Source organism: Homo sapiens, chromosome 7 (genome assembly GCF_000001405.40).
Source record: "Homo sapiens chromosome 7, GRCh38.p14 Primary Assembly".
In the NCBI taxonomy this organism is placed as follows: domain Eukaryota; kingdom Metazoa; phylum Chordata; class Mammalia; order Primates; family Hominidae; genus Homo; species Homo sapiens.
The window spans coordinates 152,867,531-152,886,627 of NC_000007.14; the positions used below are offsets into that span (position 1 = coordinate 152,867,531).

General features: G+C 48.2%; 1 annotated feature.

Moving 5' to 3' along the window:
- Nucleotides 15,920–16,675: an enhancer, noted in NCBI's record as "H3K27ac-H3K4me1 hESC enhancer chr7:152580535-152581290 (GRCh37/hg19 assembly coordinates)". NCBI's record gives its function as "activates a minimal SCP1, AML or CMV promoter by ChIP-STARR-seq in primed H9 embryonic stem cells {active_cell/tissue: H9 hESC(primed)}" and the evidence as "EXISTENCE:reporter gene assay evidence [ECO:0000049][PMID:30033119]".

Here is a 19,097-nt window from a genome sequence, read left to right on the forward strand (position 1 = left end):
GTTTCTCCTCCTGGGCTGCAGACTGTGGGTCAGTATTACAGTCTACCGTTGTTTATATCATGTGGTTAATATCAAGCATGCGAGCCTCCCTGTTTCCTGGGAACTGACGGGTACCCTCAATGCTCCTGGTAGATTGTTTATATACAATCTACCATTGTCCATTTGTGTATTCAGTCTCATTTTGAAAAGTGGAAGTTTGAATAAGGTGTGGCCGCTCCATTCTACATTTTTCTGACTCAAAATGCAAAAGTTGAAGGCCTCAATCCTGAATCTGTGCTGTGATACTGCTGTTACTTTACTGAGATAAAACCTTCAATGCCTTTCTACCATATCACACATTTTTCTTTAACAGAATTTAGGTTCCTGATGGTGGCCTTGTGGGTTTGTGAAAAAAGCCTCAAATTAAGGCAGAGGCCTGTGTGCTAATCCTGACTCGCCCCTGACGTGCTCTCTGGTCTGGGTGAAGCATTCCACTGCCTTGGGCCTGAGATGGCTTTTATTTTAATTAATTAAATTATTTGAGATGGAGTCTCACTCTGTTGCCCAGGCTGGAGTGCAGTGGTGCGATCTCGGCTCACTGTAACCTCTGACTCCCGGGTTCCAGCAATTCTCCTGCCTCAGCCTCCTGAGTAGCTGGGATTACAGGTGCAGCCATCACGCCCGGCTAATTTTTGTATTTTTAAGTAGAGTTGGGGTTTTACAACGTTGGCCAGGCTGGTCTTGAACTCCTGACCTCAAGTGATGCACCCGCCTCGGCCTCCCAAAGTGCTGGGATTGCAGGCGTGAGCCACTGCGCCCAGCCTGATGCACCCACCTCAGCTTCCCAAAATGCTGGGATTGCAGCGTGAGCCACTGGCCTGGCCTGAGATGGCTTTTAAAGTGGGTATGAGGAGCTCCATGCCCATGACCCTCCTGGAAAATGTGATGATACCAAGAACATTTTGAATATAGTTGAGGAGACCTGTATCAGTGTCCTGGGGCGATTGTAACAAAGTATACAAACTAGGCGGCTTAAACAACAGAAATTTATTTTGTCACAGCCTGGAGGTGAGAAGTCTAAGGTCAAGATGTGGGCAGGGCTGGGCTCCCACTCAGGGCGCTGGGGGAGGCTCAGTCTCGGGCCCCTCCTGGCTTCTGGTGGTCCCCTGGCCTGTGGCAGCATCGCCCGCTCTCTCTGCATGTGGCGTTCTCCCTGTGTGCCTGTCTGCTTCTGTGTCCAAATTACTCTTGTTACAAGGACACAGTCATATGGGATCAGGGCCCACCCTACTCCAGTGTGACCTCATCTCAATTACTTTCCTCTGCAATGATCCTACTTCCAAATAAGGTCACATTCGGAGGTCCTGGGAGTTAGGACCTCAGCATATGAGTTCTGGGGGGATGCATTTCAACTCACGGCAAGACAAATCCACGTTGTTAATATCAAGCACGCGAGTCTTCCTGTTTCCTGGGAACTGATGGGTACCCTCAGTGCTCCTGAGGTTGACTTGAGTGTTGACCGGCCAATTCTGGGCAAGTGACCCAGTCGCTGTAACTCTAACTCTCCATCCTTACTCTAAGGAGAGTAGGGATGTGCACTTCTTGTGGTTGGAGGGATTAGCAGGGGAGACACATGGAAACGGCTTGGCCCAGTTCCCAGAGCCTGATGGCCTTTTTGGTATTAGCACCTCGGAACGTGACCAGAACCGTGGTCTGCAGGGCTGCATGCAGAGTGGGGGCAGAGGAACACAGGCATTTCTTGTCCTAAGGGATTTGGGCGTCTTGCTTCTGGGGAGCACTTCCTTTTCCACCCATCCCCAGGGTGGGTCCAGCCCACTCCTCTCAGCCCCTCAGCACCTTGCAGGTATGGAAGGGTCAGCACAGGCCATGCTCCTCCCCAGATCTGCCCAGTCCTGCTGAGGGCCAGCAGCATGCCCTGGCACTCGTCTGTGCCTTCTGGTGCACGGACTCGCTGTGGTGCCCATCCTGCCCCGTCTACCACCTCGTGGTGCTCCCGCTCCCTGGCAGGACCTTGTTCTGAGGTCTCCTCTGTGCAGTCAGCACCATGCACCCCACAGCAAGGCCTCCCAGCAGCTTCTTGTTGACGGGTCTCAGGGTGGGCACTTCATCTGCAGGCCTGGTGCAAAAGGAACATGCGGGGCCTCTTGTTATAAATGATTCAGAATTTCAAGATGGCAGAGCAGGTGTTCAGCATGGGTGTCGGGTCTGCGTGTGACTCCATCGGTTGGACGCCCGTGAAGCCCTGGCTGGTGCCAGATAAGCCACAGTCTCCCGGAAGCACATATTGTTCAAAATGCGATGCCATCCTGGGGTGCAGAGGAGCACACAGGCGAGAGGACCCGGCCTGGCGCAGCCCACCCCGACCTGTCACCACCTATGAAATTGGATCCTTCCCGAGAGCGAGGACCTGTGCCAAGCCCCTCAGCACCTCTGGGGCGTTCTGACTGATGCCTGTTATTGACAGCACCATGTTCCTCTGGGAGAAGTGGTTGAGACGAAGGGCTTGGGATAAATAAGCCACAGCATGCTGGGCCATGGTAGTTCCTGACTCTCCCTGTAAAGCAGAGGACAGACGCAATGATGTGCTGAAGAATATGATTTAATTATTTAAGTCATCCATTAGGCTTTCACACTTGAGTCATGACTTAGAGCACAGCGGGTCTGCCTGGAAGGGCTTTTTGCTTCTCCTGCTGCATGGTTCAGGGGTCCTTGGGTTCAGGGGCGAGGCGTTCTCTTGCACCCACCTCTAACTGTCCGGCACACTGCACCGTGGTCACTGCTCACGGACCATGCAGTAGACGGTTAGCCGTGCCCACAGAGCGCCTGGCTTTGGCCCTTGACCTTTGGTCCCTGGGAGGTTGGTCCCCAGGCCACTGGGGTGTCCTGTCGGGAGCACTTTGTTACCTGAGCACCTCAGGCCCCCCTAGATAGTGTGCGCTGACAATGGTGTTTATAGTGGGGACCTTGGGCCACACTCTATTGGCTTGACCTCCCAGGGCTGGACATGGAAGGCAGCCAGGGTCAGAAGTGAGGTGGTCCTGAGGACCCCCAAGCTCCGCAGTTAGTTTCATCAATGAGGTGGTCTTGGAACCCCCAAGGTCCACAGTTTGGGTGAGAAGTGAGGTGGTCTTGGGGCCCCCAGGCTACACAGCTGGGGTCAGAAGTGAGGTGATCCTAGGGGCCCCCACTTATCTATCAGTCCTACTAGAGAACGACTTTTCTGCAGCTCCAGTACAAGGCCCAGCGTGGAAGTGCTCAGCGAGTGTCTGATGGAGAAAGGAATGAATGGAAAGCTCTGGTTTGAAGAAAAGGCCCAGGCAAGGGGCGCATGGATCTGGGAGGGTCTCTGCAGGATGATCCAGAGCCGGGGGTCTCTGCAGCAGGATCTGGGAGGGTCTCTGCAGGATGATCCAGAGCCGGGGGTCTCTGCAGCAGGATCTGGGAGGGTCTCTGCAGGATGATCCAGAGCCGGGGGTCTCTGCAGCAGGATCTGGGAGGGTCTCTGCAGGATGATCCAGAGCCGGGGGTCTCTGCAGCAGGATCTGGGAGGGTCTCTGCAGGAGGAGGGAGGAAAGCCAGCACTGCCAGCCTCTGGGGAGAGCCAGGCTCTCTCATCCTACAGTGAATCCCAGTGGTCACGCCTTGTGCTCCTGAGATCCGAGGACAGCAGTGTTTGTCCAGACCCTTCCTCCCCGCCTTGCCCTCCAGGTCGCACCCTGATTTCTCCAACTTAATGTGCAGCTCCTCTCAAGCGGCGAAGGGCCCGGGCTCTAGAAAAGCAGCGCCAGCTTTTAAGTGGAGGTTCTCTCGGATGGCCCTGGAGCAGGGCCGGTTTCTTGAGTTGGGACGCAGGTGATGCCCTCACCCTTGGGGCAAACGCACTTCCTGACCCTGGGGGTCACCTGGGGGGTACTGCACCCCGTATGCTTGCATCTGGCCACCTGCTGCCTCCCTGGTGAGAGGGCCCTGTGAGCCGGGGCATTGAGCCTGTCTCTGTGAGGCCTGACACAGAGCCAGCTCCAGAATCTCTCCTGTTGCTGCCGCCACTTCCGTTCAGAGCATGGCCGAGAGGGGAGAGCGCCTGGCAGCCTTCCCCAGGGTCCCAGGGCTCTGCTTTTCTGGGGATTGACTGATCCTCAGGATAGACACCCTCGTGGCGGCAAAATGGCTGCTCTAGGCCTCATAGTCACACACCACACCCCCAGGGAGAGAGGCCGTCCTTCCACTGTGTCAGCGTGCAGCCAGGCTTCTTACCCAGATGCCCCAGAAATCACCTGTGTGTCATTCATGACCCGTCACGGAACCAGTCCCCAGAGCCAGGGCCCAAGCCCAGCAGGTCCCAGTCTTGCAGCTGTGGTGGTCAGCCCATTTCCCCTGACACCCGTGAACCCATTGAGGAGTCTGATAATCAGAGTACAGTTACCAAGAGGAGGGGGATGGACGCAGCGGGGCCTAACATAGCAGGACTTCACTCTAGCACTCACTACTGATGAAACTGTTAGCTCAGATTCTTGGGAATTCATGAATTCCCAAGAATGTCTTTGGCCCAGGTTCTCCTTCTAGAGCTGGATCCCACAATGACAGACTCCTGGGCAACCTGTGGCAGCCGTGACTTTTGTATGTGTGGGGTCGTGTTACCTGCTGTCTCTCAGCGGTGGCTCTGGGGGCCACACGATCTCAGCTCCAGGTTCCCCAGAATGCAGCGCATGAGGCGGTGACTGAAGTGCAGGGCTTTGCTGTGGATGTGGTCACAGGGAATGGAGTGGGCGGGGAGGAGGGCAGTGCTGAGAGGCCACGCAGGAGGGGCAGTCTGGTGACCACGCAAGAGGGGACGTCTGGTGGCCATGCAGGAAGGGTGGTCCAGTGGCCGGGCAGGAGGGGTGGTCAGGTGGCCATGCAGGAGGGGCGGTCTGGTGGCCACGCAGGAGGGGCGGTCAGGTGGCTATGTAGGAGGGGCGGTCTGGTGGGGCCATCTGGTGGCCACGCAAGAGGGGACGTCTGGTGACCATGCAAGAGGGGACGTCTGGTGGCCATGCAGGAAGGGTGGTCCAGTGGCCGGGCAGGAGGGGCGGTCAGGTGGCTATGCAGGAGGGGCGGTCTGGTGGCCACGCAGGAGGGGCGGTCAGGTGGCTATGCAGGAGGGGTGGTCTGGTGGCCGGGCAGGAGGGGTGGTCTGGTGGCCGGGCAGGAGGGGCGGTCAGGTGGCTATGCAGGAGGGGTGGTCTGGTGGCCGGGCAGGGGGGGCGGTCTGGTGGCCACCCAGGAGGGTCGGTCCGGTGGCCATGCAGGAGGGGCAGTCCGGTGGCTGGGCAGGAGGGGTGGTCCGGTGGCTGCGCAGGAGGGTTGGTCGAGCGGCCGCGCAGGAGGGATGGTGGAGTGGCCGCGCAGGATGCCTGCTCTGACCTGCCTGACTATCTGTCTATGCTGTGACCTGTCTGGGTCTGTGCTGTGACCGCCTGGAAGCCGTGTGGACTGTGTCTCAGAGTCACCCCTTTGCTGGGGAGAGAGGAGGGAGTGTTATCCACTCCTTCGGCCCCCCCGCCGCTCAAAGTTTGCCCCATGTCTCATCTCACACATGCCAGGAACTTGCCCTTCAGGTCCCTGTGACGTGCTCTCCTGCACATAAGCAGGGAGGCCAGGGTGGCAGTGAAGGTACATGGGGTGGGCTGGAGGCAATATCTGCCAGCTGCACCTGTAGGAAGCTGGTTACTGCAGCGGTGGCCTCAGGAAGGGACAGGTGAGGCCATTTGGGTCTGCTGTGGTACGTAAGAGATGTCTACTGGGATGCTCTGAGAGCACAGCTTAGCAAGACAGCTTCCTGGAAAGATGGTACCCTTCTGTCCTGCAAAGGTCTGCTTGGGATGGGGATCAGGAGTAGCGTCTGAGCTGCCCAGCTTCAGGATCTGGCCTCGATAAGGGAAAGAAGAAACCATTCTCTGGACGTTGGTCCTATTGGAAACCGGAGAGTCAGTCAGGTGAAGACAGGATTTCAAGAGCCACTGTGTCCACAGATCTTAGGCAAGGATTGTTATAAACTCTTGATAAGTTTACACAACATTCGTCTACTTTTTACTTTTATAGGTTGTGTCATTTTCTCCAAGAGTCTTCTATTAGAGTTCTGTCACGGTGCTTTGGCAAAGACTGAGATTATCCTTCACAATGTATTTTTCTCACTTTCCATTTGCAAAGCATGTTGCTTGTCTACAGATAGAATGTATTGAAAACACAGTATGTTAACTGAAGAAATAGGTAGGAAAGGGATTTTAAGAAATACCTGCATTAAGGCTTGCTTCTCTTCTTGATTTTTCAAATTTAATAAGATCCAACTCCAGAAAGCTTGAATACAGAGATTTAGTTTAGAATTCATGAAGGAACAGGGCAGGAGTTTGCATATAAAATACAGCATTTTAAATATTCCACTTTCCCACCATCTCAGGGTTTTAGTTACAGACTACGGAATCCAAGTTAGCTTTTTAAATTTTTAATTTTTTTTAAATTTTACTGTAAGTTCTGGGATACATGTGCAGAACGTGCAGGTTTGTTACATAGGTATACATGTGCCATGGTGGTTTACTGCCCCTATCAACCCGTCATCTAGTTTTTAATCACCACATGCATTAGGTATTTGTCTGAATGCTCTCCCTCCCCTAGCCCCCAACCCCCTGACAGGTCCCGGTGTGTGATGTTCCCCTCCCTGTGTCCATGTGTTCTCATTGTTCAACTCCCACTTACGAGTGAGAACATGCGGTGTTTGGTCTTCTGTTCCTGTGTTAGTTTGCTGAGGTTGATGGCTTCCAGCTTCAGCCATGTCCCTGCAAAGGACATGATCTCTTTATTTATTTATTTTATTATACTTCAAGTTCTAGGGTACATGTGCACAACGTGCAGGTTTGTTACATAGGTATACATGTGCCATGTTGGTTTTCTGCATCTATCAACTTGTCGTTTACATTAGGTATTTCTCCTACTGCTATCCCTACCCCAGCCCCCCACCCCCCGACAGGCCCCAGTGTGTGATTGTTCCCCGCCCTGTGTCCATGTGTTCTTGTTGTACAACTCCCACCTATGAGTGAGAACATGTGGTGTTTGGTTTTCTGTCCTTGTAATAGTTTGCTGAGAATGATGGTTTCCAGCTTCATCCATGTCCCTGCAAAGGACATGAACTCATCCTTTTTTATGGCTATATATTATTCCACGGTGTATACGTGCCACATTTTCTTAATCCAGTCTATCATTGATGGACATTTGGGTTTCCAAGTCTTTGCTATTGTGAATAGTGCCACAAAAAACATACATGTGCATATGTCTTTGTAGTAATATGATTTATAATCCTTTGGGTATATATCCAGTAATGGGATCGCTGGGTCAAATGGTATTTCTAGTTCTAGATCCTTGAGGAATTGCCACACTGTCTTCTTCCACAGTGCTTGGACTAATTTACACTCCTACCAACAATGTAAAAGTGTTTCTATTTTCTCCACATCCTCTCCAGTATCTGTTGTTTCTTGACTTTTTAATGATCGCCATTCTAACTGGTGTGAGATGGTATCTCATTGTGGTTTTGATTTGCATTTCTCTAATGACCAGTGATGATGAGTATTTTTTCATATGTCTGTTGGCTGCGTAAATGTCTTCTTTTGAGAAGTGTCCATATCCTTTGCCCACTTTTTGATGGGGTTGTTTTTTTCTTGTAAATTTAAGTTCTTTGTAGATTGTGGATATTAGCCCTTTGTCAGATTGGTAGATTGAAAAGATTTTCTCCCATTCTGTTGGTTTCCTTTTCACTCTGATGATAGTTTCTTTTGCTGTGCAGAAGCTCTTTAGTTTAATTAGATCCCACTTGCCTATTTTGGCTTTTGTTGCCATTGCTTTTGGTGTTTTAGTCATGAAGTCCTTGCCCATGCCTGTGTCCTGAATGATATTGCCTAGGTTTTCTTCTAGGGTTTTTATGGTGTTAGGTCTTACATTTAAGTCTATAATCCATCTTGAATTAATTTTTGTATAAGGTGTAAGGAAGGGATCCAGTTTCAGCTTTCTACATATGGCTAGCCAGTTTTCCCAGCACCATTTATTAAATAGGCAATCCTTTCCCCATTGCTTGTTTTTGTCAGGTTTGTCAAAGATCAGATGGTTGTAGATGTGTCATGTTATTTCTGAGGCCTCTGTTCTGTTCCATTGGTCTATATCTCTGTTTTGGTACCAGTACCATGCTGTTTTGGTTACTGTACCCTTGCAGTATAGTTTGAAGTCAGGTAGCATGATGCCTCCAGCTTTGTTCTTTTTGTTTAGGATTGTCTTGGCTATGCGGGTTCTTTTTTGGTTCCATATGAACTTTAAAGTAGTTTTTTCCAATCCTGTGAAGAAAGTCAGTGGTAGCTTGACAGGGATAGCATTGAATCTATAAATTACTTTGGGCAGTATGGCCATTTTCATGATGTTGATTCTGCCTATCCATGAGCATGGAATGTTCTTCCATTTGTTTGTGTCCTCTTTTATTTCACTGAGCAGTGGTTTGTAGTTCTCCTTGAAGAGGTCCTTCACATCCCTTGTAAGTTGGATTCCTAGGTATTTTACTTTCTTTGTAGCAATTGTGCATGGGAGTTCACTGATTATTTGGCTCTTTGTTTGTTATTGATGTATAGGAATGCTTGTGATTTTTGCACATTGAGTTTGTATCCTGAGACTTTGCTGAAGTTGCTTATCAGCGTAAGGAGATTTTGGGCTGAGATGATGGGGTTTTCTAAATATACAATCAGGACATGAACTCTTTATTTCTTGTGGCTGCATAGTATTCCATGGTGTATACGTACCACGTTTTCTTTATCCAGCCTATCACTGATGGGCATTTGGGTTGGTTCCATGTCTTTGCTATTGTAAATAGTGCTGCCCAAGTTAGCTTTTTAAGGGAGAGAGTGTTAGGGGCTTCAGCATACCTGGGAGGGCAGGGACATGGCATATATGCCACCGAGCCAGGGGCACACCAGGCAGGAGATATGTCCACCCAGAAATGCAGAAACCCCACCTGATCCCCCGCTGGGCTCCCCACTTGCAATGCCAGAGCTGGGATGGGAAAACCCCTTCCACAGCTGCTGGAGGAGAGCTCCAGGTGTCCACCTGTGGCTGCCACGAGATCTAATTTCCCTGTGTGGGCTGCCCCCTTTCACACTGACTTCTGCCTGGAGGCCCTGGTCACATGTGGAATGGTAGCTGCAAATCATCTGGGAAGTGACCTTGGCCTTCCTATACAGATTGTACGAGAACCACAGGCATGTGCCTGGGCCGGGAGTTGAGCTTGCTACATGCAACAACTTCCACAGTACGACTCCCAAGTCTTTCCTCTTTCTGCCTCCTGTACTTCCCCTCATTCCCACCCACTGCCCTCGCTGTCCTCTCCCACATCTGCACATCATCGCACACCTACCTGCCTTCCGCTGCAGGCACGCGGGCCTCCCTGCTGCAGCCCACAACCCCTCGGAAGGGCAGTCTCATGCCCACACAGTTTTTTCTCTTGTGAGGAGAAACTCCCTGGAATTCTGTTGGGTATAAATTTCCATCTCATTATATTTCTATGCTTATTAAAAGTATTTGGTTGTGGCCTGCAACAGGCACTTCTGTTGTCAACCTGTGGTTATGAATGTGTCAGGAAGATACTCCCTCCACCTGCCCTCCTGGGTAGATGCTCTTCTGTGGAGTAAATGGCTATCCTCTTGGGTAGATGGTGCCCTCTTGGGTAGATGGTGCCCTCTTGGTGGGTTGCCCATGGTGCTGCCTCTTGTAGAAAGAAATTGAAATTCCAGTTCTCTTTAATTTGCCTCTGACCCCAGCTCTTTCTCCACCTTCCTTTGCCAGTACTCTGGTTCTACTTTATGCTACTTTATTTCCTGTGTTTATTTAAAAGACCTGCACACTGTCTTCAGCACAGTTAAAAGCAAATTGAGTTCCTCCCAGGAAGCAGCAGAGGCACAAAAGAGGCTGAACCAAAGGATAGTCAGAATAATATGGAAAGAGACAGAAGAACTGAAGGAAAAAGAAAAACGATTGTGTGGGAAGGAAGTAGCAGGGCCCTCCTGTCCCCTTTGTCATGAGATACATGGAGATATAAACTCTAGTTCCAAATTTAGTTAAAGTATATTCTTTGTAGGATCAAATTTTAAAATAATTTTAGAAATCAAAATGCTATCCAGTGACTAAGAACCAGGAGCAGAAACAGCCCAGGCCAACTGAAGACAAAGGCTCCATTTTGCTATTAGATTGAAATATGAGATGTATCCAAGGATTAAAGCAGTGAAAAACCAAAAAGAAATAATTTAAACCGCTCTTGTTGCAGTAGCTCTATAACCTCTCCTTCAGGGTGAGTAATGATTGCTGTCAATCAAGTAAGAAAATATTCCCATTTCATGACTCCAATTATCTACAAACAAGCTTTCTGAGGTGGAGGAGGTTGGTTAAAAATACTGGGTGTAGGCCAGGTGTGGTGGCTCATGCCTGTAATCCCAGCACTTGGGGAGGCTGAGGCAGGAGGATCACCTGAGGCCAGCAGTTTAAGACCAGCCTGGGCAACATGGTGAGACCTCATCCCTACAAAAATTTAAAACTTAGCTGGGTGTGGTGGTGCACATCTGTGGTCCCAGCTACTTGGGAGGCTGAGGTGGTAGGATCTCTTGAGCCCAGGAGGCGGAGGTTGTAGTGAGCCAAGATTGCACCACTGCACTCCAGCAGGGGCGACAGTGAGACCCTTTCTCAAAAAAAAAAAAAAAAAATACTGGGTGTAGAGGCCTAATTTTCCTTCCTCTGTGTCTATATCGTGCTGCTGTAAGAATGGAGTTTTTATTTGTAAATAAAATAATTCACTTATTTTGACCATCTTTCCATTGACCTTTGTAACCTCAGTGATTTGCTTGAGGAAGTTAAGAGGCAGTTGCCATCCACAGCACATAATTGAAACAGTGAGTTAGGGCCGGAAGTGGTGGCTCACGCCCGTAATCCCAGCACTTTGGGAGGCCAAGGCAGGTGGATTACTTGAGGCCAGGAGTTTGAGACCAGCCTGGCCAACATGGTGAAACCCCATCTCTACTAAAAATACAAAAAATTAGCTGGGTGTGGTGGTGCACGCCTGCAATCCCAGCTACTTGGGAGGCTGAGGCATGAGAATTGCTTGAACCCAGGAGGTGAAGGTTGCAGTGAGCTGAGATCGCGCCACTGCACTCCAGTCTGGACGACAGAGTGAGACTGTGTCTCAAACAAACAAACAAACAACAACAAAAAAACAAAAACCAAAAAAAGAAACAGTGGTTAGGCTATCAGTTTGTGATCTTTCTGTCTTTTTGATGTAGGCGTTTAGTGGTATACACTTTCCTCTTAGCACTGCTTTTGCTTTACCCCAGAGATTTTTGATAACTTGTCACTATTATCATTCATCTCGAAAAATTTAAAAATTTCCTTCTTGATTTTATTGTTGACCCCAGAATCATTCCCACTAGAAAGTGGGCAAACGACATGAACAGATATTTCTCAAAAGAAAACATACAGGGCCAGTGTGGCGGCTCACGCCTGTAATCCCAGCACTTTGGGAGGCTAAAGTAGGAGGATTGCTTAAGCCCAGGAGAAGTTCAAGACCAGTCTGGGCAAGATAGTGAGACCTTGTCTCTATTTTTTTAAAAAAATGGTATTGATGGGATGTATCTCAAAATAATAAGAGCTATTTATGACAGACCCACAGCCAATATCATACTGAATGGGCAAAAACTGGAAGCATTCCCTTTAAAAACTGGCACAAGACAGGGATACCCTCTCTCACCACTCCTATTCAACATAGTGTTGGAAGTTCTGGCCAGGGCAATCAGGCGAGAGAAAGAAATAAAAGGTATTCAATTAGGAAAAGAGGAAGTCAGATTGTCCCTGTTTGCAGATGACATGATTGTATATCTAGAAAACCCCATCGTCTCAGCCCAAAATCTCTTTAAGCTGATAAGCAACTTCAGCAAAGTCTCGGGATACAAAATCAATGTGCAAAAATCACAAGCATTCTTATACACCAATAACAGACAAACAGAGAGCCAAATCATGAGTGAACTCCCATTCACAACTGCTTCAACGAGAATCAAATACCTAGGAATCCAACTTACAAGGGATGTGAAGGACTTCTTCAAAGAGAACTACAAACCACTGCTCAACGAAATAAAAGAAGACACAAATGGAAGAACGTTCCGTGCTCATGGATAGGAATAATCGATATCGTGAAAATGGCCATACTGCCCAAGGTAATTTATAGATTCAATGCCATCCCCATCAAGCTACCAATGACTTTCTTCACAGAATTGGAAAAAACTACTTGAAAGTTCATATGGAACCAAAAAAGAGCCCACATTGCCAAGTCAATCCTAAGCCAAAAGAGCAAAGCTGGAGGCATCACGCTACCTGACTTCAAACTATACTACAAGGCTACGGTAACCAAAACAGCATGGTACTGGTACCAAAACAGAGATATAGACCAATGGAACAGAACAGAGCCCTCAGAAATAATACCACACATCTACAACCATCTGATCTTTGACAAACCTGACAAAAACAAGCAATGGGGAAAGGATTGCCTATTTAATAAATGGTGCTGGGAAAACTGGCTAGCCATATGTAGAAAGCTGAAACTGGATCCCTTCCTTACACCTTATACAAAAATTAACTCAAGATGGATTAAAGACTTAAATGTTAGATCTAAAACCGTAAAAACCCTAGAAGAAAACCTAGGCAATACCATTCAGGACATAGGCATGGGCAAGGACTTCATGACTAAAACACCAAAAGCAATGACAACAAAAGCCAAAATTGACAAATGGGATCTAATTAAACTAAAGAGCTTCTGCACAGCAAAAGAAACTACCCTCAGAGTGTACAGGCAACCTACAGAATGGGAAAAAATTTTTGCAATCTACTCATTGGACAAAGGGCTAATATCCAGAATCTGCAAAGAACTCAAACAAATGTACAAGAAAAAAACAACCCCATCACAAAGTGGGTGAAGGATATGAACAGACACTTCTCAAAAGAAGACATTTATGCAGCCAACAGACACATGAAAAAATGCTCATCATCACTGGCCATCAGAGAAATGCAAATCAAAACCACAATGAGATATCATCTCACACCAGTTAGAATGGCAATCATTAAAAAGTCAGGAAACAACAAGTGCTGGGGAGGATGTGGAGAAATAGGAGCACTTTTACGCTGTTGGTGGGACTGTAAACTAGTTCAACCATTGTGGAAGACAGTGTGGCAATTCCTCAAGAATCTGGAACTAGAAATACCATTTGACCCAGCCATCCCAATACTGGGTATATACCCAGAGGATTATAAATCATGCTGCTATAAAGACACATGCACATGTATGTTCATTGCGGCACTATTCACAATAGCAAAGACTTGGAGCCAACCCAAATGTCCATCAGTGATAGACTGGATTAAGAAAATGTGGCACATATACACCATGGAATACTATGCAGCCATAAAAAAGGATGAGTTCATGTGTTTTGTAGGGACATGGATGAAGCTGGAAACCATCATTCTCAGCAAACTATCGCAAGGACAAAAAACCAAACACCGCATGTTCTCACTCATAGCTGGGAATTGAACAATGAGAACACTTGGACACAGGAAGGGGACTATCACACACTGGGTGGGGGGAGGGGGGATAGCATTAGGAGATATACCTAATGTAAATGACAAGTTAACGGGTGCAGCACACCAACATCGCACATGTATACATATGTAACAAACCTGCACGTTGTGCACATGTACCCTAAAACTTAAAGTATAATAATAAAAAAAAATAAAAATAAAAAAAGAAAATATACAATTGGCCAATAAACAAACATATGAAAACATGTTCAACATCACCAGTCATTGGGGATATTAAAGCCACAATGGGATGCCACGTTACCCAGCCATAATGGCTACTATTATTATTTGTTCAGTCAGGATCTCGTTCTGTCGCCTAGGCTTGAGTGTTGGTGCAAATATGTCTCATTGCAGCCTCGACCTCCTGGGCCCAAGTGATACTCCCACTTCAGCCTCCCAAGTAGCTGGGATCACAGATATGTGCCACCACACCCAGCTAAGTTTTACATTTTTTTGCAGGGACAGGGTCTTGCCATGTTGCCCAGGCTGGTCTTGAACTCCTAGGCTCAAGTGATCCTCCTGCCTCGGCTTCCCAAAGTGCTGGGATTACAGATATGAGCCACAGTGCCCAGCAACAGTAGTTTCAATACATAAGGTTTTGTTTTTTTCTCTGGGTGGGCTATCCAGGGATGCTCAGAGCTTCCATGAACCCCAGGGTCCTCTGCTCCTTGCGGTGTCCTGGCCTGCCAACCCTAGATTGTAGTCCTGGTCCTCATAGCCCTAAATGACAGCTGGAACTCCAGCTGACATGCCTGCTGGAGGTCAGCAGGAAGAAGGAAGTGTCAAAAGGGGTGTGCCTCCTCCCCTTTAGGGTACTTCACAGAGTTACTCTTGCTAGAGTTGGGTCACATGGCACCAAGTCGCTGCTGGGCATGGTGGTAAATGTAGTCACTGAGCTGGTGGCAATGGCACAGGTAAGAATCAGTGTTTGTCATGAAAGAAGACGGGAGTGGACATGGGGTGGTAATGAACAGCCTCCACCACAGCTGAACTGGACAGAAGGCTCCATCTTTACAGATTGCTTTCTTTAAAGTGCAAGAGGGCTGGGCCTCCCCTCTGAGGCCCTGGGCTCAGCACCTCTGCCTGTGTGTCACATGTATCTCATGAAGCTCCATTTTCTGGAACAGCCTGGGTGGCTGAAGGGACATGTCCCTCTGCCTTTCTGATGGGTTTCTGAGTTTCTTCCATTTGATCTTAAGGAAACTAAGTGCTTTCCTGGATAATGCTCATTGCTGGCTTTTAATGCCCTATGAACATAGCCAATTCTGTCTCCTCCGGCCCTTTGAGAGTCGAGCAAGGGGGTGAAATAACTGGAAGAAGCCTTCATTGTAACCTCACAGTACAATCTCCTTCCTCATCACCCTTCCTATGGCGACTGTTTCAAACAAAACAGAATGAAGCAACTGTATCAGTTCCTAGAGTGGCTGTAATAAACTGCCACAAACTGGGGGGCTTAACACATTAGAAATTTCTTCTCTCAAGTCCTGGAGGCAGAAGTCTGAGGTCCAGGTGTGGGCAGGGCTGTACCTTCCCGGCCTCTGGCGCTGTACCTTCCCGGCCTCTGGGGCTGTGGCCGTCCTTGGCACTCTGTGGTTGCGGCTGTGCAGCTACCATCTCTGCCTCCGTTGCCCCACGGCCGTCTTGCCTCTGTGTGCCCATCTTCACGGGGCCTTCTCTCTGTGTCTCTTCTCTTCTTATCAGGACACAGGCATATTGGATTAAAGGCCCACCCTACTCCAGTATGACCCTCATCTTATATCTTAATTACATCGCAAAGACCCTATTTCCAAATAACATCACATTTTCAGGTACTGGGGTTTAGGACTTCATCATATCTTTCTTGGGGGAACACAGTTCAACCCGCCACAGCACAAGTGCACGCCCGAGGCTGGTGTGGAGCCACCCCTCACTGGCGGGGCTGCTGGCTGATGGATGGCACCTGTTGGGATCCGTGGGGTCTGTGCTGCACTGGGGTCTAAGTAGTTCAGTATCATCTGTGCATGTGCTTGATCGTTTTATTTTTTTCTTTCGTTTTTAAGAGACGGAAGTCTTGCTGTGTTGCCCAGGTTGGAGTGCAGTGGTGCAATCTCAGCTCACTGCAACCTCCGACTCCCGGGTTCAAGTGATTCTCATGCCTCAGCCTCCCAAGTAGCTGGAATTACAGGTGCACGCCACCATGCCTGGCTAATTTTTGTATTTTTTAGTAGAGATGGGGTTTCACCATGTTGGCCAGGCTGGTCTCAAACTCCCGACCTCATGTGATCCACCCACGTCAGCCTCCCAAAGGTGTGACCCACCGCACCCGAACTGCGCTTGATCTTTTGCCAAACTGCGCTTGATCTTTTAACTCTTCTACTGGTACTGGTAGCATAGGATCTTAAAGGGTGGGGAGGAGAAGAAAGAAAAAGACCTAAGTCTTCCCGAGGCTCTTGGTTACGCATCTGGGAAGAAGCACTGGCCCTCAGCATGGTCGTCTCTGAGACTGGATCCTTGCGGCTCTGAGCGTGCTGTGTGGAGCCGATGCATTGATATCTCCTGGGAACTTGCTAGAAATGAGGGCTCTCAGGCCCCACCAGTCCTACTGAACCCAGCTCCTCATGTTACAGGCTGCAGGGTGACTTGTGTACACGTTAAGTTTGAGAAACGCTGGACTGGTCCCTGTTAAATCCAGAAGGGCTGTTGGTCTAATGGCTGAGGGCCTCTCACTGGGAAGAGACAGGAAGAAGGCTGGCAGGGTAGGTGGTGAGGGACAGAGCCGTGTGTGTCCTGGGGCTGACTGCAGGGGTCATTGGAAGAGCTGCAGCGAGAGGCTGAGGTTGCCGTGCATCACAGAGTCCCTTCCCAGCATGGAGGAGCCGGGCAGAGGGGTGCGCATGGGCAGGGGGTGTGCCAGGAGAGGCAGGGGTGCAGGAGAGGCACCCGCAGGGTGCTGGGCACTCCATGGTGGTCTCTACCCGCTCCCCCACTCACCAATTGATACCTCGTAAAATTTACTACCTACTGTGACTGGATTTTTTGATAGATGAAGGTTTTAAATTTTACAGTTACTCACTTATGCAAATGTCCATTGGAGACAATGAGCTCCTTGAAGTAGTGAAGTGACAAATGATGAACCAGGGGAGCAGGAGGCAGAAGGTGCCTGAGGGCAGAGGCTGGGGAACGGGGAGGCTGACACCAGGGGCACATGGTGGCCCCCATCTAGTTACTTTTGATTCTTCACAATGTAGAAGCTGTGGCTTGGGAGGCTAGAGGCTGACTCCTGCACCTGCCTGTGCACCTGGAGCTTGAGGGAATCCCAGCCCTCACTGCTTCCTGTGACAGAGCAGAGTGTGTGTTCTGAAGGTCAGAACTGGAGGTCAAGCCCAGGGTGAGCCCCTCTGTCTCTGTAACCGGAGGCAGGATCCTCCGTTTTCCTGTTGATAAAATGAGACTGTCAGGCCTCTGAGCCCAAGCCTGCACATATACATCCAGATGGCCTGAAGCAAGTAAAGAATCACAAAAGAAGTGAAAATGGCCGGTTCCTGCCCTAACTGATGACATTACCTTGTGAAATTCCTTCTCCTGGCTCAGAAGCTCCCCCACTGAGCACCTTGTGACCCCCGTCCCTGCCCACCAGAGAACAACCCCCTTTGACTGTAATTTTCCACTACCTACCCAAATCCTATAAAACAGCCCCACCGGTATCTCCCTTCGCTGACTCTCTTTTAGGACTCAGCCCGCCTGCACCCAGGTGAAATAAACAGCCTTGTTCCTCACACAAAGCCTGTTTGGTGGTCTCTTCACACGGACACGTGTGACAGAGACATCGACTGCACAGGGGTATTGGGACCACCCAAGAGGATAATAATACGGAGAAGTGCTTTGTCAGGTATCTGCCAAATGACTTTTGTTATGACGATTTTTAGAGTGTGGCAGATGCCCGTCTAAAGGGGCATCATTTTTGGAGCATTTGTTGACCAAAATAGTGGGATAGAAGACACAGCCGCTATTCTAAAAATGTGCATTTCTGATGCAGGGAGAAGTTATCGTCACGACGTGCTAAACAACACAACATACCAATGTCAAACGAGGCTATGGGGAGGGGCTCCAGGGCCAAAACCATGTGAGGCCATGTGGTCTCCATGATTGGACAAAGTCTTATGGAGGGTGTGAGACTTAACTGGGGCTCTCCCAGGTTGGAGAGAGAAAGGTGAGCAAACAGAGACGTTCACTGGTTCCCAACTGTTAGCCAGGGCAGAAAATCTGCGGCTATCTGCAGGGTGCACTAATTATACAGATTTGATGGAAGGCTGTATTCGGGGGTTTACTAGAGAGACTGAGTGCATAAATTTGATCAAGAAGATTAGAAAATGACCGAGGAAGTGGATAATCGGTTTTTACAATGGTGCGCTTGGAAATTCTAATTAGTAGTAGCAATTGGATTCTGCAATTTTTTCTTTGGTGAGTCCCAACAAAACCAATTAACTTGTGTTGCATCCATACATTACCACGCACACGACCATAAGCAAGGGAAGGCGTGCTGAGTCTAACTGCTGCCTTTTGGCTTTTAACAGAAAATCAATTCATTTTGGCACATTAAACCATTAGTGCCCATTGGATATGAATTTCCCCTTTTTCTTTAAATTTCTCTCCCGCTTCCCCTTTTTCTGTTATGGGGGAGGAAACTGTTGACTTTGAAGGCTGTGAATGGGAGGCTTCCCGGGAAATCGGGATAAACTCATGCACACTGATGTGTCTTTGGGCTTCAAGGAACTTTCTGATTGAATTCTCAAAGTCCTCAAGGCTTCTAAATTCTACAATCAAGCATCAGCTTTATGAATTCCATATTCCGTGAAGAGGTGGTGTCATTGAGAACCTGTTGGATGGATGTCATCAGCACTGTCTGAAGGGTTCCTCAGAGGTACAGCAGATTAGATGAGGAGGCACTTCTACACTAGGGATGGAAAATTAATGGTACCTGTGATGGTTAATGTTAGGTGTCAACCTGGCCAGGCTAGGCTAGGCTGTGCAGGTGTGTGGTCAAATGTTACTCCAGATGTCGTGAATATATATATATATTTATATATTTGGTTTATACTTATATAATATATATTATCATATATAGATATATAATACATATATTATGAATATATATAATATAGATATATAATACATATATTATAAATATATATAATATAGATATATAATACATATATTATAAATATATATAATATAGATATATAATACATATATTATAAATATATATAATATAGATATATAATACATATATTATAAATATATATTTATATAAATATATTTATGTATTTGGTTTATATATAAACCAAAATATATATATATTTGGTTTTTTTTTTTTTTTGAGACAGGGTCTCACTCGGTTACCCAGACTGGAGTGCGCTACACAATTATGGCTCACTGCAGCCTTGACC